Source organism: Homo sapiens, chromosome 12 (genome assembly GCF_000001405.40).
Source record: "Homo sapiens chromosome 12, GRCh38.p14 Primary Assembly".
NCBI classification, from domain to species: domain Eukaryota; kingdom Metazoa; phylum Chordata; class Mammalia; order Primates; family Hominidae; genus Homo; species Homo sapiens.
The window spans coordinates 113,266,563-113,287,185 of NC_000012.12; the positions used below are offsets into that span (position 1 = coordinate 113,266,563).

Genomic DNA, 20,623 nt, shown 5'->3' on the forward strand with positions numbered 1-20,623 from the left:
TTCTGCCCACCAGTAAATTCCAGGGAGGGGAAGTGTCCCAGGCCCTGCTCAGGACCAGTGCCCACACCTTGGCTCCGGGTGGGGAGGGCACCCAGTGGACAGTCCCACTACTCTGTCTCCAGCCTCAAAGGAGAAGGCAGTTCGGTGTGGTCACCATGGGAGGTGGGGGATGTTTCCTGGGCAGCCCCAGCCCCGCAGATGTCCCTACACCCAGGCCCAGCCATCATTCAGTGGGGGCCAGAACAGGTGTGGAGCTGTGCTTGTCCCCTTCTCAAGGGGTGTGTGGTAGGCATGGAAGCAGGGAAGGGAGCCTGTGCCTGTTGAGTTAGGAAGCGCTCATCCAGCCTGGCCTCCAAGGCCCTCCATGACTCAGTTTCCCTTCCTGTTTCTCCTTCTTCATGCCTGGAACTCACAGCTCCAGCCAGTCTGTGTTTCTTTCTGTGCACACCTCCCCCATGCCGTCACCTGTGCTGGAGTCCTTCTTCCTGTCCCTTCACTTTGTCAATTCCTGCCCACTGGAATGTCCACAGGCCCTGGACCTCCCTACCCCCAGGAGGAGGAGCTCTCCTATGTCTGTTTCCCAGAAGCACTTGACTTCCCTGCTGGGAAGGTTTTCCATCTAAGGGTTTTCCATGTCTTGTCCTTTTGTCCAAAATGAGGATGAGAGTTTTAGGGGCTGCTCTCTGCTTGACAGTCCTTGTTTCTTTGACAATCGGATTTTATTTCTTAAGTTCCTAATTGATGCTTTCTTAGTGTCTTTTATAGATCTTTTGTAAATTACATGAAATCCCTCTTAGAACAAGACTAGATATTAAATTTTATCTTATCTTGTTTTTCTTACTTTTTTTTTTTTTGAGACTGAGTCTCCCTCTGTTGCCCAGGCTGGTGTGCAGTGGCACCATCTCGGCTCACTGCAACATCTGCCTCCTGTGCTCAAGCGATTCTCCTGCCTCAGCCTCCTGAGTAGCTGGGATTACAGGTGTGCGCCACCACGCCCAGCTAATTTCTTTTTCTTACTTTTAAACTTCAGGCTCCTTCCTGATTTTTCATCATTTGGGCCAGCATGTCAGTTTCATGGATATCAAGTTTATGTTTAGTTGTTCTGGGGAAAGCTCCGTGACCAAGGCTCTGTCTTTAGGCATGCGAGGCCAGGTTTTTGTAACTCTGATATGTGTTGGGAGGATGTCCTGGGGCACTCCCAGGTCCTGGGAGGGTTGGGCAAAGAGGAGTGGCCATGGGCTGGGCTGGCCATGACACATCTCCACACCCTCTGGTCTCAGGTCCACGCCACCCTGGAGCTGTTTGCCCTGATGGTGGTAGTGTTTGAACTCTGCATGAAGTTACGCTGGCTGGGCCTCCACACCTTCATCCGGCACAAGCGGACCATGGTCAAGGTGATGTGTCCGCCCATCTGTCCCTCCCCTCACAGCCTTTTCTCCCATGTCACCTTCAAACCTGTCTCTTTGGTACAATTCAGAATCCACCATGGGCCCAGTCCATGCTCAGAGGTGTAACCCTAGGGTCCCTGTCCTGACCGTGCCCTCAGCCTTGTGGGTGCCCTGGATGTCGTGATGCCAGCAGTAGCTAATGTGATTGGGTGTTTGGTACCTGCCAGGCACTGGCGCAGTCACCTTCGAGAGAGATGTGCTGCTCTCCGTGGTTTACATTCATCTGGAGACATGGGGCTCACACCCAGCTCTGCCCACTGCGCCCGGCTCACCTGTCCCTAGTGTTGCGCATATTCTCTCTGTGCCACAGAGAGTGGCATGAGTAAGAGCACGTCAAGGTGGCATTTTGTAGTGTGTGGAGCATGTGCGCTACTCTAGGAGAATATAGCCAAGTAAGCAGAGCTGAAGAGGAGCTGCAGGCCCCGGGATCCCTGATGTGAGTGGCGAGGGCTGATCGAGGGGTCCTGGCAGAGTGGCGGTTTTGCCTCCTCAGTGGATACCAGCAGTCACACAGCCCTTCCATTCTTCTGGTGCCACACACCTGTGCCAGCACCTGGAGTTTTTTTTCTTCTGGGGCTGCCTGATGTTGGCAGGAAGTGTGAGAGGGCTGGAGAGAGGAGAAGGCCTCCCGAGGCCAGAGTGGGCACTGCCTCTCCAGCCCCCCGTTCCAGGTATGCAGGATGACGGCTGGGCTGCAGGGGCTGACGGTGCTCCATGCCTGCCACCCACAGACCTCGGTGCTGGTGGTGCAGTTTGTCGAGGCCATCGTGGTGTTGGTACGGCAGATGTCCCATGTGCGGGTGACCCGAGCACTGCGCTGCATTTTCCTGGTGGACTGTCGGTATTGCGGTGGCGTCCGGCGGTAAGGCCCGGGTGGGGAGCTGGGCAGTCACTATCCTGGCATGGCCTGACCTCTGGGCCAGTGGGGCAGGAGCTTGTGAGTCAGTTAGTGATGAGGTCGACCCTGCATGCTGGTGGAGTACACGCAGACTCACTCTCCCTCTGCCATTCCATCCACGCACAGGAGAAAGCGGTATTCCTACCGCAGTGTAGGTTTGCTGCCTCTGGGTCCAGGGCTTTTTCCCATCTTATCCGCAGCCTTCCAGAGCTGCTTCCTCGCTCTAGGCATGTTATCTACCCAAATGCAGGCAGCTCAGCAGCGTCCATGTGACACAAGCAGACTCTCCTGCCACCTCCATCGAGGCTGTAGGACCAAACTCAAACCAGACCAAGCCTCGACTGAGATTTATTTTGGGAGACTCAATCTGGAAAATTCCTTGGCTGGGCTACTGTTGCTGAGAGTGGGTTTGCAATTCATTCTCTGTGCCCATCTGCAAAGCTAGAAACAGGACTCAGTGTCCTTGAAACAGGCCCAGTGTCCCAGGACTAAGTGGCCTTGAAATGTCTTCATGCCTTCCACATCCTGCTCATGGAAACTGACCTTTGCACCCAAGGTCATGCCCTTGGCCTTCTGCTGCTCTGTTCCCTGCTTGCATGGCACTCACCTCCTTGGGGCCTCACCAGGTGGAGGTGGCTGTGTGCTACGCCTGCCCTAGTTCTTCCCTGCCATCCGCTGAGTGGGGGTCTCAAGCCACTTTAGGAAAAAATGAAGCATGATGTCACACCAGAGTGCGTCAGGGTTTAGTATTTCGAGTCAGAAGCACTAGGCCTCCATCTCAACAAGGAGGAGTCCCAGGCAGCCCGCCCCAGCTGGTGCCTCCCCTGAGCTGGCCCATCTCTCCCCAGCAACCTGCGGCAGATCTTCCAGTCCCTGCCGCCCTTCATGGACATCCTCCTGCTGCTGCTGTTCTTCATGATCATCTTTGCCATCCTCGGTGAGTTCCCGCCTCTCAGGCCCAGGTGCGCTGGAAAAGCAAGTTCACGGTGGATGAAAAATTATTTTGGGCCTGGCTCAGTGGCTCACGCCTGTAATCCTAGCATTTTGGGAGGCCAAGGTGGGTGGGTAACCTAGGTCAGGAGTTTGAGGCCAGCCTGGTCAACATGGTGAAATCCAGTTTCTACTAAAAATACAAAAATTAGCTGGGCGTGGTGGTGCACACCTGTAATCCCAGCTGCTTCGGAGGCTGAGGCAGGAGAATTGCTTGAACCCGGGAGGCCAAGGTTGCAGTGAGCTGAGATCGTGCCACTGCTTTCCAGCCTGGGCAACAACAGAGTGAGTGAGACTTTGTCTCAAAAAAAAAAAGAAAAGAAAAGAAAAATTATTTAGACAGTGCCTTAGTCCTTTTGGACTGCTGTAACAAAATGCCATAGACTGGGCAGCTTATAAACAACAGAAGTTTATTTCACCCCTTTCTGGAGGCTGTGAGATCTGGAAGTCCAAGATCAAAGGCCAGCTGTGGGTGTCTGTTGAGGGCCTATTTCCTGATCCATAGGTGGTGCCTTCTGGCTGTGTCCTCACGTGGTGGAAGGTGGGAGGCAGCTCTCTGAGGCCTCTTTTTTGTTTGTTTTGTTTTGTTTTTTTTTTTTTGAGACGGAGTCTCACCCTGTCACCCAGGCTGGAGTGCAGTGGCACGATCTCGGCTTACTACAACCTCTGCCTCCCAGGTTCAAGTGATTCTCCTGCCTCAGCCTCCCGAGTAGCTGGGACTACAGGCACCCACCACCACACCCAGCTACTTTTTGTAGTTTTAGTAGAGATGGGGTTTCACCATATTGGCCAGGCTGGTCTCCAACTCCTGACCTTGTGATCCACCTGCCTCCGCCTCCCAAAGTGCTGTGATTATAGGCGTGGGCCACCGCGCCCGGCCTCTGGGACCTCTTTTATAGGGGCACTAATCCCATTCGGGAGGACGTCACACTCATGACCTCTTCACCTCCCACAGCCGCCACCTCCTAACACCCTCAACTTGGGGATTAGGATTTCAACATAGGGATTAGGGGCAGGGGACACAAACATTCAGACCAGAGCAGGTAGTTTTATAAATTCAGAAAGATTTTAAAAATACGCCAGGCATGGTGTCCCACGCTGATTGTCGCAGCATTCTAGGAGGAGGAGGCAGGCAGATCGCTTGAGTCCAGGAGGTCGAGACCAGCCTGGGCAAGATAGGGAGACCCCATCTCTACACACACACAAAAAAAATATACAGGAATTAGCTGGGTATGGTGGCATGTGGCATGCACCTGTGGTCCCTGCTACTCAAGAGGTGAGGCAGGAGGATCACCTGAGCATGGGGAGACAGAGGTTGCAGTGAGCTGTGACAGCGCAACTGCATTCCAGCCTGGGCAACAGAGCAAGACTCTGTCTCAAAAATAAATAAGTAATAATAACATGAACACCCATGGACCTACCATCCAGCTTAGGAAATGAAGCCTTAGAAATAAAATGGAAGGCATGTTTGTGACCTTTAGTGATTGTGATTCCCGCTTTCCCCAAAGGTACCCCCTGTCCTACGCTTATCATTCCCATGCACGTCTTTATATTTTACTTCACATTTACATTTCCCCAAGTGACAAAGAAATGATAATGCTTTGCATACTTAAAAAAGTCTCTAAGTGGTTATATAATATGGGTGTCCGCTTCTACACATTGCCCTTTCGCTCAGCACTGTGTTTTTGAAATTTATTCCTGTTGATACATGTAGATGCTGTTTATTCATTTTCACTGGAGCGGAGCAAGTATGCCAAAGCTTGTTTATCTGCTCTTCTGTCGGACGTTTTTCTTATCACAAATCCCACCGCAGTGAACACTCCTGTGTGTTTCCCGGTGCTCACGCTTGAGAGTTTCCCAAAGGCGCTTGCCTGGGCCCTGAGAGACGGCAAGCTTCAGCTTCACTGGGTACAGCATGGTCACAGGCTGCTCACTCAGGAGGGCTTAGTTTTTCAGGTGGGGCTGACTGTGACAGCCACACAAGAGTCACAGGGCATAGACATCGGAAGCCGTGGCACTCAGCTGGGAAAGCCGAGGTCCTTTCACCAGGACTCCGCAGATGGTGAAGACAGTGGAACTCCAGAGCCCTGACTCTGAGGCTAGAGCCAGGGCCAACCCCTCCCGGCCCTCGTGACTGCCTTGTCCTGAGTCATGGCTCTCACTTCCTCCCACCCACCACCCCACTCTTGGTAGAATTTTGTTTGTGCTTCTCCGGGGGTAGGGGCTGATTTCCCCTGAGGGCAGAGTTCCTCCCTTTTCCCACTCAGGATTTCAGGGACTCAGGGAGTGGTCCATTCCTGGAGGGAGGAAGTGAATGGCATTCCCACCCTGGGACCCTGGCTGCAGGGAGCAGCGGATCCCTTTGGAATTTAGTCAGCTGTCATGTTCTCAGAACCTAAGATTGCGAAACAGCAGCCTGGATTCCAGATCCAGCCTACAGATGGGTTTTGTTTGGTCTGAAAACTTTGAGCCAGCATTTTAAAATTAGATTTTACACAAAAATACAGACTTCCAGCCTTTTGAAAGAACAGAGCCGATAGTGCCCGGCACATTGCTGTAGGGCAGCAAGCGTCTGGTGCCAGCAGCCCTGCTCCCTTCCAACAGAGCATGTGTTCTCAGGGTGCTGTGGTCCCCAGCAGTCCCTGCTGCTCTTCCTGACCTGCTGCGTTCATTTGCATGTATTTGTCCAGTCCTTTTGACACCAGGTTTTGGGACCTCTGCTCTAATCCTTTTGTTTATCTGTTTCCACCCACTTCTAGGTTTCTACTTGTTCTCCCCTAACCCTTCAGACCCCGTAAGTAATCAGCACATTTGTCCGTCTCTTCTTTTATGGAGGGCTTTTCCCTCAGACAGGGTCACCGGCGTGACCCTGTGGCCATATGGGGAAGGGGGGGCCTGCCTGGTTTCTCATCATAGCTTGTGTGTGCATTGCACCTGGGAGTTCCCATCACTCAGACTTGACCACTTTCTTCCTTGAGAGCTGGGGATCCCCTTTTCTGTTCTTGAAAGGAGTGCCGCCAGGATCAGGTTTGGACCATTGGAATATTTTGGCAGAGGAGCAGTGGGGGAGAGCCAGGCGAATGGCCCAGACATGTGACTCCCTAGAAAAAAGTCCCCCCAAGTCAATAGTTTGCTTCTGCCGGAAGCATCAGGTGCAGGAAAGGGGAGGCCTCTGGACTGCATGTTTGCTCTTTCCTCTGCCTCCCTCAGGGATTCCTTGAGAGATGCAAGAGCGGTCAAGGCAGGGCATGCCAGGTGGCCCATCACAGCCTGTTCCTGATGGCCGTGTGCTCTTGGCTGGTCCCGACTTCTCTGCCCTCTCTTCCCTTGCAGTACTTCAGCACCCTGGAGAACAGCATCGTCAGTCTGTTTGTCCTTCTGACCACAGCCAAGTAAGTGCAGGCTCTGCCTTGCCTTTGGTCCTCTGCTGCCGCCCTGGGGTCTCTTTCTCTTTTCTGCCAAGTATATTCCACATCCCAGCACAGGCAGGTGCTGTGGTGCTATTGGGAGACAGGGTTGGCCCACTGAGCACGGAGCCCAGGGATGAGAGTAGGGGAACCAGGGTTGGAGGCTGGGAAGGCAGACAAGGAGCTGTCCTCTGCAAGGCATGTGCTCTGAGAGGATGGAGACAGGCAGATACAGCACGCCGGGTCACCCTCTGCAAATACAGTTTCCCAGATGTGATGATGCCCTCCTACTCCCGGAACCCCTGGTCCTGCGTCTTCTTCATCGTGTACCTCTCCATCGAGCTGTATTTCATCATGAACCTGGTGAGTGACTATGCCTCAGGCTACGCTGAAGCAGCCTGCCCCTACCCATGCAGCACTAGGCACTGTGGGAGTGGAGAAGTGGGGACTGTCTTCTGCCTCTCAGGGCAGAACGTTGGGGCAGGAAGTCCCAGATTCATAGTCAGGTGCGGTGTTGCAGGGAATGCCCTGTCGGGACTTCAGGAGTTCAGCCAGTTGCTGGGGGTGGCGTCCTCACCAAGGCAATGCTGCTGATGCTGGTAGTGCTGGATGTGAAACCCAGGCAACCCTGGGACCTTTTCATTCTTACATCAGAAATAAGCAGTTGACCCTCGGTGTCCACAGGGATTGTTTGCAGGACCCCCTGTAGGTACAAAGATCCACAGATGTTCAAGTCCCTTATATAAAATGGCAGAGTATTTGCAGATAACCTGTGTACATTCATCCTCTCATATATTTTAAATTATCCTGCATTACCTATAACACCTAATACAATGTAAAAGCTATGTAAATAGTTGTTATACTGGGCTGGACATGGTGGCTCACGCCTGTAATCCCAGCATTTTGGGAGGCCAAGGTGGGTGGATCATTTGAAGTCAGGAGTTCGAGACCAGCCTGGCCAACATGGTGAAACCCTGTCTCTACTTATGAAAATTAGCTGGGCGTGGTGGTGGGTGCCTGTAATCCCATCTACTCAGGAGGCTGAGGCAGAAGAATTGCTTGAACCCAGGAGGTGGAGGTTGCTGTGAGCCGAGATCATGCCGTTGCACTCCAGCCTGGGCAACAGCACGAGACTCTGTATCAAAAAAAAAAAATTGTTATACTATATTGTTTAGGGATAATGACAAGAAAAAGAAGGCTGTACATGTTCAGTACAGATACAACCATCCTTTTCTTTTTGGAATATTTTTGATTTGCGGTTGGTTGAATGCATGGATGGAGAACCCACAGATAAAGAAGGCCAAGTATATTATAATAACCATAAAAGCTGGCATTTAGTAAGCCTTAGCCACTTGGCACTATGCAAAGTGCTTTACATATGAGGATGAAATAATTTAATAAATAAACACAACCGTGGAGGTAGTGAGTATGGTTCTCCATGTGCAGATGAAGAGACTGAGGGTCAGAGTGACAGTGTGATTTGCCCATGGCTACATAGCTTGGAGTGGCCAGGCCAGGCTCATCCCAGAGCCCTGTTCCTAACCACTCTGTTCAGTTGCACTCACGTGCCAGAAATGTCTTGTGTATTTCTACCTCACTTATCAGGAACCATCAGAAAATCCAGTATAGAACACGTTCTGTGAAGGAGAACGTAAAGCCTCTGTGCTCAAAGAACTTTGAGGGTGTTTGTGGAGGTGTGGACAGCCTCCAGGAGTGTCCCAGCCATCACAGATCACATCCGACACCAGGCTGTTAGGCCGGTGCCCAGACCACACATCCATGGCAGAGCTAACGGGGAGAGGCTTCCGATCGAGTCCTGTGTTTATTTTTATGCTTCTGCAGAGCATTCTCACACCAGTCACCACAGTCAGGCCCAGTATAGAAATGAAAATCATCTTTTCCAGGTAGACTTGTGAAATCTAAAAAATTTTAAGTCCTTTTCTCTTTTTTGAGATGGAGTCTCGCTCTGTCACCCAGGCTGGAGTGCAGTGGCGCAATCTCAGCTCACTGCAACCGCCGCCTCCCAGGTTCAAGCGATTCTCCTGCCTCAGCCTCCCAAGTAGCTGGGACTACAGGCACATGCACATGCCGCCACACCCGACTAATTTTTGTATTTTTGGTAGAGACAGGGTTTTGCCATGTTGGTCAGGCTGGTCTCGAACTCCTGACCTCAGGTGATCCGTCCGACTCAGCCTCCCAAAGTGCTGGGATTACAGGTGTGAGCCACAGTGCCTGGCCAAAATTTAAGTCTTAAAAAGGAGAAAATATTTCCTTTTTTTTTTTTTGAGACAGAGACTTGCTCTGTTGCCCAGGCTGTAGTGCAGTGGCGCGATCTCGGCTCACTACAACCTCCGCCTCCTGGATTCACACCATTCTCCTGCCTCAGCCTCCCGAGTAGCTGGGACTACAGGCACCCGCCACCACGCCCGGCTAATTTTTTTTGTAGTTTTAGTAGAGATGGGGTTTCGCGCTTTGTTAGCCAGGATGGTCTCAATCTCCTGACCTTGTGATCCACCCGCCTCGGCCTCCCAAAGTGCTGGGATTACAGGCCACCGTGCCCGGCCTGAGAAAATATTTTCTTGTTTTAATTCCTCAAAACCAAGAAGAAATATGTTGAGTACTTCTTTGTATTTGATTTAATTCATAATATATTTAGAGCTGTGAAAATTTAGGGCAGCAGTCAACAAAGTACGACCTGCTGGCCAAATTTGGCCCATGGCCTGTGTTTGTAAATAAAGTTTCATTGGGACAGAGTCATGCCCATTTGTTCATGTATAGTCTGTGGCTGATCTCATGATATGACCACAGGTTAGTAGTCGCAGCAGAGATCATTTGGCCTTCACAGCCTAAAACAGTTGCTGTCGAACCCTTTACAGAAAAAGCATGCTGACCTTTGATCCACAGGGAAAAAATGGGGGACCAGTTTGAGGGAAAGGACCAGAGAGTTTCCCTTAAAACATTTTTAAAGACAGAGAAAGTGTTTCTAAAAAGGATTCTTTCAAGTTCTTCCCCGGCCTTCCATCCCCCTCTGATAAGCTAACTTTTGGTATTAGCCAACTCTAGAACGTTATTTCCTTGCATGCAGAGCCTCTCACTCCCCTTTTTCCTGGGCCACACGTGAAGCAGTGACTCACAAGGAGAAGTAACAAAGGGGCAGGGGGAGGAAGGGTCCTTCTGGATCGGAGGTCAGGAGGGCAGTGGGCAGGCAGCCTCCGCCTGCCACTGGCTGGAGTCGGACTGGGCTCAGAATCCAGATGCGCCCCTCTTGCTACTCTCTCCTCCCCTGGCTTGCCCCTGCGCAGCCTGGGACAAGCTGTAGCTGGAACTGGGGAAAGGAGTGTGGGAAAGTGGAGGGGAACCTGGGAAAGATGGAGTAACAATGCCTTCATGTATCTGAAGAGGGAAATTTACAAGCGGAACAAAGGGCCTTCCTCTGTTGAGACTTGGGAGACTGACTTCCTACCCCATGAGGTGCAGGCGAGAGGGTCTCCCCAGGGCCTCTCTGGGGTGACTGGGTAAGAGCCTTGCCTAGATGATGAACTCATACCCCCCTGCACTCCCTGCCCTAACCACTCAAGGTCCTGAGCTAGGGCTCTGTGCTTCTCTCCCACAGCTTCTGGCTGTGGTGTTCGACACCTTCAATGACATTGAGAAACGCAAGTTCAAGTCTTTGCTACTGCACAAGCGAACCGCTATCCAGCATGCCTACCGCCTGCTCATCAGCCAGAGGGTAGGAACTATGGGCCAGGGAGGGGCTTGGTCCCTGTCCTCCCTCCCTTGCCCAGAGCAGCCCCTAAGCATGGCCAGGCCAGCCACTTTAGAAACCAGGAACCCTGCCCTTGGAAGAATGAACAGAGCTGGAGTGGATCTGGAGTGGGTGCCCCAAGGGAAGGGGAGTAGCCTGGGTTCCACACTGCTCTTCCCTCTCCCCCAGAGGCCTGCCGGCATCTCCTACAGGCAGTTTGAAGGCCTCATGCGCTTCTACAAGCCCCGGATGAGTGCCAGGGAGCGCTATCTTACCTTCAAGGCCCTGAATCAGAACAACACACCCCTGCTCAGGTAAGAGCAGATGCCTGGTAGGGGCAGCATGGCCAGACAAGGTGTTCACGTCTAGAGTGAACGGGGGCATGTGAAGGCCCTTGAGGTGGGCAGGCCTATAGGCTTGTCAGAGACTTCCTCCACAGATGTTTATCCATGTAGACTTACACACTGGATTCATCAGGATGCCTTTTGCAAGTGACAAAAGTCCAACACAAATCCAATTCAAGCTGACTTGAGAAAAAAGGAGCTCATGAAGTGGACTGGCCCAGCTGCTGGCCCTCGAACCCCCAGTGGGGTGGGATAGTCCCATGTGAGCCAGGTGGACAGACAGGGGTGAATATACTTCCCCAATCCCCTGCACACACCTGGCTCGGCCGCAGAGAACTGACCCGAGATCTCCAGGGGTAGGATTGGTCTTCCAGGCTGTTGATGACCAAGCCCTGTCCACAGCAGCCTGCTGTGGAGCTGAGAACAAGCCCTGTTTGAGCTGAACTTGCAGTCCCAGGTGTTGCATTAAGGCCCCTGCTAAAAAGTGAAGTTTCCGTCCTCCTAAGAATCCTAGTGCTCCAGCAGCTGCCTCTCCAGGGCACTGACACTGTCCGTAGTTAGTGCCATCGGTGGAGACTTAAGTGGATTACATATTTGTAGTACCTCAAGGTCAGAGGAGATCCAAACGCTTGCAGGTAAAGGATCCCCCAGCACTGCTGTGCTGGGACTCACATGGTGTCCCCTCTCTTCCTCCCTCACCCCATAAAGGTGTCCATAGGCAGGCAAGTAAGAGAAGCAAAGCACAGTGGAACTATGTTCTGATATTTTGTCCCTTTTTATTTTGCTTTTGGTAGCCTAAAGGACTTTTACGATATCTACGAAGTTGCTGCTTTGAAGTGGAAGGTGAGTTCTTCTCTGAGACCATAGAAGGAGTAGACAGAGAGGTCCCCACGTGGGGCAGTGAGGAGCAGGGGCACCCCGAGATCCAGCTCTCTCCCTGCTAGAGCAGCTCAGCCCCCAGCTTGGCATGGTACACTTCAGGGATCACAGGTGGCCCCAGCCCCCAAATCTGCCCTTACATTTGTGATACAGTGTCATCGTTAACAGCACCGAATCTTACTTAGACCCCATTGGTTATTGTGTGACATCAGGCGGGTTACTGAGCCTTTCTGAGGCTTGTCTTACCTGGGAAGTGGCGTAAGGATAATCCCTACTGACAAACCTCATTTCAGGACTATACTAAAATAAGGCCTCTGCATGGCACATTGTAAACGCTCGGTACACACTGGCTGGCTGTGTTGTCATGTAGATCCCTGAAGGTTAACATTGTTCCCCAGTTTAGCAGGGTGAACAGGAAAGGAAGCCAGCATCCTGGCTCCAGGCAGGGCCCTGGTCCCTGGCCCTGACACCCTCCCTCTTGGTCCTGTTGTCTACCAGGCCAAGAAAAACAGAGAGCACTGGTTTGATGAGCTTCCCAGGACGGCGCTCCTCATCTTCAAAGGTAAGTGGGCTTGAGTATGGCAGGTGTTGGCAGCTGGGGGCCGATGGAGGTTTTCAGAGACCACAGATAAGCGTCTGAGGAGAGGTTCAGAGGGGTGTGTGTGTGTGTGTGTTTGTCTGAATGCCTGTGTGAAGAGACAGTGTGATTACCCCAGCAGGGACGTAAGGGTGGTAGGAAGCAGATTGGGAGAGAAATGGGTAACTTAACCCAACCAAAATGGGTAACTTAACCCAACCAAGACATTTGGGGTATTTTTCTTTTTTCATACAAAAGCAAAGATGTTCATTGAAGAAACTTGAAAGTGAGATAATTAGAAGTAAATGGAAATTTACCACCCAGATAACCACTGTTAGTTCTCTGATGTGTTTCCCTCTGTGCCATTTTTCTATGCATTTTTAAAACAGTAGGGTGACATTATATATTCCATTCTGTAATCTGCCTTTTCATCCAATAACACATATGTGTGTGTGTGTATATATATATGTGTGTGTGTGTGTGTGTGTATATATATGTGTGTGTGTGTGTATATATATATATATATATATATATATATATATTTTTTTTTTTTTTTTTTTTTTTTTTGAGGCGGCGTCTCGCTCTGTTGCCCAGGCTGGAGTGCCGTGGTGCGATCTCGCTCACTGCAACCTCCGCCTCCCAGATTCAAGCGATTCTCCTGCCTCAGCCTCCCGAGTAGCTGGGACTACAGGCATGTGCCACCATGCCCGGCTAATTTTGTGTGTGTGTGTTTTTAGTAGAGATGGAGTTTCACCATGCTGGCCAGGCTGATCTTGAACTCCTGACCTCGTGATCCACCCACCTCGGCCTCCCAAAGGCCTGGGATTACAGGCGTGAGCCACTGCGCCCGACCCCGATAATATATTTTTGCCCTCCTCTTATGGCAGGATGTATACTTTGCATGACCCCTTGAATAATGCTTGTGTAGTGTAAAGTTTGAAAATTTGAAATTGGGTGCTCGTATTATTTACCTGACAGTTGCCCCTTAATTTCATGCCAGTTTCAGCAGTGATCAGGAGAGCTTTGTCCTGCTCTATCTTGGTTCCAGGTTGCTCAGGCTCCCCCCAGAGCAGCTGTAGTCAGTGCAGTCTTGTCTGGGGGTCTGAGCAGAAGCATGGGTACCACTCTTTGAGCAGGACCCTCCTTTCTTCACCTCTGGGGTAAAGACCATGCTTACCTGCATGCACGAAGAGTGTGGTAGGTGGTTGCACCTGCCCAGAAAGAGATAATAATAATTAAGGATACAGTAGGGGGAACAAGTGCGTAAATTTACATTTTAACTTGTCTTTTCTTCAAATAGGTATTAATATCCTTGTGAAGTCCAAGGCCTTCCAGTATTTCATGTGTAAGTGTGAAATATCTCCACTCTAGGCCACTTTCCCCCTGAGTCCTTTGCTGTTCTAGAAGCGGGAGAGGCAAGAGATTGGTCCTAGAGTCCTGTGTTTGACTTTTTATTGTGGGGAATTCCCAGCATGTATAAAAGTGAAGAGAACATTACCACACGCATCCCCGTGCCCATCACCCATCTGTATCTTCACTCCGGCTCATCATCCTCTCTAGACCTAGATTTTTTGGAAGCAAATTCCAGAACCACAGAGTTGACTGGTCGATATGTCTCTTGAGTTTGTTTTAATCTATAGGCTTCTCTTCCTCACCTCATTTAGGTGAGGAAGCAGGATTTGGGTTTTGTATGTTCCTCTGTTGCCTTTTCCTGGAATTTGGTAGTTCTGTCTAGAGCCATGCTGTGCAGTGTGGAAGCCACTGGCCACATGTGGCAATTTACATTTAAGCTAATTAAAATGAAAAATTCAGCTTAGCTGTCACATTTCAAGTGATTAATAGCCACAAATGGCTAATGACTACCAATTGGATTGTGCAGATAAGAAAATTTGTATTGTCACAGAAAATTCCCTTGGACAGTACTAACCTAGAGGCTTGATCCAATTTGGTCTTTCCAAGGAGCTCTGGTTCCTTTTAGTAGGAAATGGTGTTAGAGACACAATTCGAGGTGCTGGGTGCTCATTGCTTGGGTTGGTCATTGTTTCTAGGCCTTTCCATGGACAGAACTAGGGTTTTGTTTTTTTTAAAGATAAACTGTTGTGCGTTCATGCTAATACTTCACATTCAGGCCTACAGCAATTTTAAGATTAAGAATCTAGATGTGTAAGACTGATTTCATCAATCTTACACGTCTAGATTCTCAATCCTTTTTTTTTTGAGACAGAGTCTCATTCTGTCGCCCAGGCTAGCGTAATCTGTGCTCACTGCAACCTCTGCCTCCCAGGTTCTAAGTGATTCTCCTGTCTCACTCACCTGAGTAGCTGGGATTACAGGTGTGTGCCACCACGCCCAGCTGTTTTTGTATTTTTAGTAGAGATGGAGTTTCACCATGTTGACCAGGATGGTCTCGAACTCCTGACCTCAGGTGGTCCACCTGCCTCAGCCTCCCAAAGTGCTGGGATTACAGGCGTGAGCCACGTGCCTGGCCTAGATTCTCAATCTTAAAATCCAGGTTGTCTTTGAAGACAATCAGACACCAACAAAGAAAAAAAAATAAATATCCAGGTTCCCAACTACACTGGCACAGTTATTCATTTGCTTTGTCTCACAGTCCCAGGATAACAATTGCAAAGCAATCCCAATGATATAATTACTAGAAACATCATTCCAATGATGTACATTCAGATTACTGTGGGTTTTTTTGTTTGTTTGTTTTGAGACAAAGACTTAGGTCTGGTGCCCTAGTGGCATAGTCATGGTTCACTGCAGCCTTGACCTCCCAGGCTCAATCCATCCTCCCACCTCAGTCTTCTGAGTAGCTGGGACCACAGGTGCATGCCACCACACCTGGCTAATTTTTTAATTTTTTGTAGAGACGGGGTAGCCTCATGTTGCCCAGGCTGGTCTCAAGCTCCTGGCCTCAAGCCATTCTCCTGCCTTGGCCTCCCGAAGTGCTGGGAGTACGGGTGTGAGCCAGTGTGCTTGGCCTTGTGTTTTAAGGTCATGTGGGATAGTTCCTCTCCATGTGGACATGTCACCAACTGGATACACATTTGGATTTCTTTTTTTTTTTTTTTTTTTTGAGACAGAGTCTCACTCTATCTCTGTCACCCAGGCTGTGGTGCAGTGGCATGATCTTGGCTCACTGCAACCTCTGCCTCCCAGGTTCAAGCAATTCTCCTCCCTCAGCCTCCCAAGTAGCTGGGATTACAGGTGCCCACCACCACACCCGGCTAATTTTTTTTTTTTTTTTTTTTTGAGACAGAATTTCACTCTGTCACCCAGGCTGGAGTGCAGTGGCGTGATCTCGGCTCACTGCAAGCTCCGCCTCCCGGGTTCACACCATTCTCCTGCCTCAGCCTCCCAAGTAGCTGGGACTACAGGCACCCACCACCACGCCTGGCTAATTTTTTTGTATTTTTAATAGAGACGGGATTTCCCCACGTTGGCCAGGCTGGTCTCGAACTTCTGACCTCAGTTGATCCACCTGCCTCGGCCTCCCAAAGTGCTAGGATTACAGGCATGAGCCACCGCATCCGGCCTACACATTTGGATTTCTTTATGCCATGTTATTTTTTATTTTGGGGGATTGCTTTTGGCATTTAATTTTGTTTTATGGCCGGGCATGGTGGCTCAGACCTAAAATCCCAGCACTTCAGGAGGCCGAGGCGGGTGGATCACTTGAGCCCAAGAGTTTGAGACCAGCCTGGGCAACATAGTGAGACCCCTGTCTCTACAAAAAAAAAAATACAAAAATTAACTGGGTATGGTGGCTCACACCTGTAGTCCCAGCTACTTGGGAGGCTGAGGTGGGAGGATCACCTGAGCCTGGGGAGGTTGAGGCTGCAGTGTGCCATGATCGCGCCACTGCACTCCAGCCTGGGCAACAGAGTGAGACCCCCCTATCTCAAGAAAAAAAAACCCAAATTTTGTTTCATAATTATGTAAATTAGGCCTGGGCATGGTGGCTTATGCCTGTAATCCCAACACTTTGGGAGGCCGAGGCGGGCAGATCACTTGAGGTCAGGAGTTCGAGACCAGCCTGAGCAATGTGGTGAAACCCCATCTCTACCAAAAATAGAAAAAATTAGCCATGCACGCCTGTGGTCCCAGCTACTTGGGAGGCTGAGGCAGGAGGATCACTTGATCCTGAGAGGCAGAGGTTGCAGTGAGTTGTGATGGTGCCACTGCACTCCAACCTGGGTAATACAGTGAGACTCCATCTCAAGAAAAAGCAAAAAAAAATTATGTAAAATACTTACATGGTTCCAAGTCAGATCTACCAAAAAAAGTATATTGAAGGAAGTTTAGTTTATATCCCTGTCACTTCCCACAGTGGGCAACTTTTATGTATGGCTTCTCCTTCCATTGTTTAAAACCTGTAAGTTGGATACCTATCAATATATCTGTCTTAAACAATAGCATATTTTATGCACTTTTTTCTGCCACCTGGCTTTTTGCAGTTAACAATATGCCCTGGAGACCGTAATATGTAGAAATGAGGCTGGGTGTGGTGGCTCACACCTGTAATTCCGGCACTTTGGAAGGCAGAGGCAGGTGGATTGCTTGAGCCCAGGGGTTCAAAACCAGCCTGGGCAATGTGGCAAAACCCCATCTCTACAAAAAATACAAAAATTAGCTGGCGTGGTGGTGTGCACCTGTGTTCCTAGCTACTCAGGAAGCTAAGGTGGGAGGATTGCTTGAGCCCAGGAGGTGGACGTTGCAGTGAGCCAAGATCACGCCCCACTGCACTTCAGCCTGGGTAATAATAAAACCCTGTCTTAAAAAAAAAAAAGTAATATGTAGAAATGTACCTCATTTCTTTTCTTTCTTCTCTCTTAGAGAGAGGGTCTTGCTCTGTCACCCAAGCTGGAGTGCAGTGGCACAAGCATAGCTCACTGCAACCTTGACCTCCTGGGTTCAAACGATCCTCCCACCTCAGCCTCCTGAGTAGCTGGGCCCACAGGTGCACACTACCACACCTGGCTAGTTATTTTTATTTTTTGCAGGGATTTGGTCTCCCTGTGTGCCCAGGCTGGTTTCGAGCCCCTGGGCTCACGCAATCCACCTGCCCCAGCCTTTCAAAGTGCTGGGATTACAGGTGTGAGCCACTGTACCTAGCCTGTGTTTCTTTTTTATGGTTAAAGTATGCCAGTTTATGAATGTATCGTAGTCTGTTCAACCAGTCCCCTACTGATGATCATTGAGATTGTTGCCAGTGTTTTGCTATCACAATAGTGCTGCGGTGAGTAGCTTTCAGATACATCTTATATTTTTGCTAGTGTGTCATTGGGATGGTTTCTGGAAAGTGGGATTGCTAGGCGAATGGCTTAATGCATATGCAGTTTTTCTAAAGAGTTCATGCAATTATTTTAAAATTAGAAGTCTCTAGGGGAAAACAAGTGTTTTCAATACTTGAATGCCTGGTATATTGTCCCTCTTTTACCTCAATTTGGAATAATCTCTACATCATAACTGGTATTCATACAGTGACAGAGGGAGTGTTTTTAGAAATTTATAGCTGTTTCTAGGTGAAAACACTGGTTGATTTAGCTCCCTTGGTAAGAGCACTGAGCAGAAAGAAGTTCCCTATCAAATGGGTGTGTGGAGCAGCCCTGTTCTCCCCATCCCGTAGAGCTCCAGGAAGTTAACCAGGGACTTCAGCTGCGACCTGCAGATTTCTAAGCCCCCCTGTTATTTCTCTGTCTTTTACGGGCCTGTGTATTTCAGACTTGGTGGTGGCAGTCAACGGGGTCTGGATCCTCGTGGAGACATTTATGCTGAAAGGTGAGCCCCGCTCAGGGACTGGCCGTGTCCTGGCCGGCACACCTGGCTTACCTGTGAGCTGCTACTTCTCTGTCTTACAGGTGGGAACTTCTTCTCCAAGCACGTGCCCTGGAGTTACCTCGTCTTTCTAACTAGTACGTTTCCGACATGGCTTTGCTGGACTGCTTGTTTTAAAATTGTCTGGGAGAACTTTCATTCAGTGTAGAACCTCATGGTTCTTCTCTAAAACAGGAAGCTATAAAGAGACGGAGTAATCAGTCTGATTCCATCTCGTCCCCGTTTAAAACTCTTTCGTGGTTGTCCGCTGCCCTCTGGATGGAGCCCAGATCCTAGGCGTGTGTGACCCTCCACTCGGCTCTGCAGCCCTGCTGTTTGCCAGCGCCGTGTCCCCCGCTGCACACTGTTGCTCTCCTCAGCAGCCTCTGCTCCCTGCTGCTCTTGCCTGCCTCTGGGCTGTGCACAGGGGTTTCCTCTGCCTGGTGGTGTCTTCCTCTAACCTCTGCCTGACTTTCCTGCTCTTTCCATCAAGTCTGAGCACACTGTGTTGTCATTCCCTGTTGGCGTCTTTCCTCCCACCTAGCTGATAAGCTCTGTGCCCCCAGGGTTGCCCTGCACTGGTCACTTTTGCACACCTGGTACCCAATGCAAGGCCCAAGGTAGAAGGGGTAGTCAGGACACACCTGTTGGATGGACAGATGGTTAGCTGGGCCCTGCCCAGAGACAGGCAGGGAGGATTTCTCTCTCTTTTTTTGGGGCAGGATCTTTCTCTGTCACCCAAGCTGGAGTGCAGTGGCGTGATCATAGCTCACTGCAACCTCAACCTCCTGGGCTCAAGGGATCCCGAGTAGCCTCAGCCTCCCAAGTAGCTGGGATTACAGGCACACAGCGCCACAATGCCTGGCTAATTTTTGTATTTTTTGTAAAGATGGGGTCTCACTATGTTGCTCAGGCTGGTCTCCAACTCCTGGGCTCAAGTGGTCCTCCTCTCTTGGCTTCCCAAAGTGCTGGGATGATAGGTGTGAACCCCTATGCCTGGCCAGTTTCTCTTAAGCAGATTACCCAGTTGGCCACCATCTAGGCCCTCTCCTGGAGCACCTGCTCTCACGCTGGGACATGAGTGAGGCCTGGGCTCAGCCTGGAGGGCTTATGGCCAGCAGGGAGGCTGCAGACTGTGGAGGAGCCTCAAAGAGGAGACCGAGCATGGGGGAGGATGTGGCGGGGCTGCTGCCGATGGATTCCTTCTGTCCACAGTCTATGGGGTGGAGCTGTTCCTGAAGGTTGCCGGCCTGGGCCCTGTGGAGTACTTGTCTTCCGGATGGAACTTGTGAGTGGACAGCATGTTTCTGACCCAAAGCTGAGACTCTTGAGGATGGCCCCAGACCCTTCTCTGCACACCCTGATCCCGGGCCATTTCTGGAATCGCAGAGGGAGGGTCTGAGGATGGGCTGAGGCCTATGTCTCCCTCAAGCAGCCCTGCCCACAGCCCAGGAACTCCCCAGGGTCAGGCCCTTGTCTGAAGCCTCTCAGACCACCCACACCGTCCTTCTGGAAACGGCCTCTTGAGGTGCCATAGACTGATTGGCTCTTCCTGACTCATTAAACTTTTTTCTCTTCCATAAAAGCCACAATGCCCACAGAAAAGAATGCTCCCCCCCTTCCTTGATCAGCAGTAATGAGACCCCATGTGGCCCTTCTCCCTATTCCCCAGAGCGTTGGAGGTCACTTCCCTGCCCTGTTCAAGTTAACCGGCCTGTGAAGTCAGGCTGCACTCATGAGGTCTTGGGCCGCGAGGGTGAGCGGGTTAACACGCAGAGCGGAGTTGGGAGGAGCCGACAGCACGTGTGTGCCCTGCGTGTCTGGAGAGGAGAGAGGGTCCTCTGGCTTGGGGCAGGGCGAGCTGTTCTCCCGATGGGAATCTCACTGGAAGGGCCTGCTCTCTTCCCTCAAAAAGTTCCTTGGGGTCAGGCTGGTCTGCAGTGTGTAACCAGATGTCTGTTGAGCGGAAGACGAGGCCTGTCTCCAGGGCTGCGGAGGCCAGGGCTGCAGAGGCCGGGGCTTCTTTCCTTCTTGTCGTTAGACCAGCATGGGGCCCTTTGTAGGGGTTCCCGGGCATTTCTGGCCTTGGGGTCAGAGCACTGAGGCCTGACCCGTGAGACGCATGCTGGGACAGGGCCTGGCCACCTTGAAACCCCAGGGTGGCAGGAAGTTCTTCCCGCAGCCGGCTGGTTCCTGTTGGTGTTGCTGTGTCTGGGCTCTGTGGGAGGGTGGCTGTGCACAGGGCCAGGGAGGGGAGCAGGCGCAGGTAGGCTCAGGGCCACAGGGTGGACCTTGGCCTCTCCCCTACTGCAGGTTTGACTTCTCCGTGACAGTGTTCGCCTTCCTGGGACTGCTGGCGCTGGCCCTCAACATGGAGCCCTTCTATTTCATCGTGGTCCTGCGCCCCCTCCAGCTGCTGAGGTGATGGGCAGGGCAGAGCCGGAGACAGGGAGAAAGAGAGGGAGGACGGGAATGCCCCAGGATTGATCCGGGAAGTGACCCAGAATGAGCC

General features: G+C 51.0%; 1 protein-coding gene across 15 annotated transcripts in view, besides 5 other annotated features; it reads left to right on the plus strand.

The window, feature by feature from the left end:
• The window catches only part of TPCN1 (two pore segment channel 1), a 77,122-nt gene that overhangs the window by 45,099 nt on the left and 11,400 nt on the right, over positions 1–20,623 (plus strand). For 13 of the 15 annotated variants that reach the window (XR_001748766.3, NM_001143819.3, NM_001351346.2 and 10 more), the window contains 15 exons: positions 1,281–1,394; positions 2,180–2,310; positions 3,195–3,283; positions 6,096–6,130; positions 6,670–6,728; positions 7,007–7,106; positions 10,357–10,473; positions 10,678–10,802; positions 11,627–11,675; positions 12,210–12,273; positions 13,589–13,633; positions 18,019–18,075; positions 18,156–18,209; positions 19,327–19,399; positions 20,425–20,532. Coding sequence is in view for 14 of the 15 variants with exons in the window: in NM_001143819.3 (NP_001137291.1) it covers positions 1,281–1,394; positions 2,180–2,310; positions 3,195–3,283; positions 6,096–6,130; positions 6,670–6,728; positions 7,007–7,106; positions 10,357–10,473; positions 10,678–10,802; positions 11,627–11,675; positions 12,210–12,273; positions 13,589–13,633; positions 18,019–18,075; positions 18,156–18,209; positions 19,327–19,399; positions 20,425–20,532 (1,220 nt within the window). In the remaining variant the exon portion in view is untranslated. The remainder of the gene's footprint in view (positions 1–1,280; positions 1,395–2,179; positions 2,311–3,194; positions 3,284–6,095; positions 6,131–6,669; positions 6,729–7,006; positions 7,107–10,356; positions 10,474–10,677; positions 10,803–11,626; positions 11,676–12,209; positions 12,274–13,588; positions 13,634–18,018; positions 18,076–18,155; positions 18,210–19,326; positions 19,400–20,424; positions 20,533–20,623) is intronic. The other 2 variants (XM_017019480.3, XM_047429011.1) reach the window with 1 other exon arrangement.
• Positions 299–468: an enhancer, noted in NCBI's record as "experimental_24609 CRE fragment used in MPRA reporter constructs". NCBI's record gives its function as "activates a minimal promoter by MPRAs in K562 erythroleukemia cells, with activity observed for both the introgressed and non-introgressed 12:113704751 variant alleles {active_cell/tissue: K562}" and the evidence as "EXISTENCE:reporter gene assay evidence [ECO:0000049][PMID:34662402]".
• Positions 1,467–1,659: a silencer, noted in NCBI's record as "fragment chr12:113705834-113706026 (GRCh37/hg19 assembly coordinates)". NCBI's record gives its function as "represses an EF-1alpha promoter that drives an FKBP-Casp9 reporter gene in an ReSE screen in phorbol 12-myristate 13-acetate-treated (for megakaryocytic differentiation) K562 erythroleukemia cells {active_cell/tissue: K562(+PMA)}" and the evidence as "EXISTENCE:reporter gene assay evidence [ECO:0000049][PMID:32094911]".
• Positions 2,457–2,626: an enhancer, noted in NCBI's record as "experimental_24611 CRE fragment used in MPRA reporter constructs". NCBI's record gives its function as "activates a minimal promoter by MPRAs in K562 erythroleukemia cells, with activity observed for both the introgressed and non-introgressed 12:113706909 or rs73192831 variant alleles {active_cell/tissue: K562}" and the evidence as "EXISTENCE:reporter gene assay evidence [ECO:0000049][PMID:34662402]".
• Position 2,542: a transcriptional cis regulatory region, noted in NCBI's record as "Neanderthal adaptively introgressed variant 12:113706909 (GRCh37/hg19 assembly coordinates) or rs73192831 in the experimental_24611 CRE". NCBI's record gives its function as "modulates activity of the experimental_24611 enhancer by MPRAs in K562 erythroleukemia cells {active_cell/tissue: K562}" and the evidence as "EXISTENCE:reporter gene assay evidence [ECO:0000049][PMID:34662402]".
• Positions 14,131–14,300: an enhancer, noted in NCBI's record as "experimental_24613 CRE fragment used in MPRA reporter constructs". NCBI's record gives its function as "activates a minimal promoter by MPRAs in K562 erythroleukemia cells, with activity observed for both the introgressed and non-introgressed 12:113718583 variant alleles {active_cell/tissue: K562}" and the evidence as "EXISTENCE:reporter gene assay evidence [ECO:0000049][PMID:34662402]".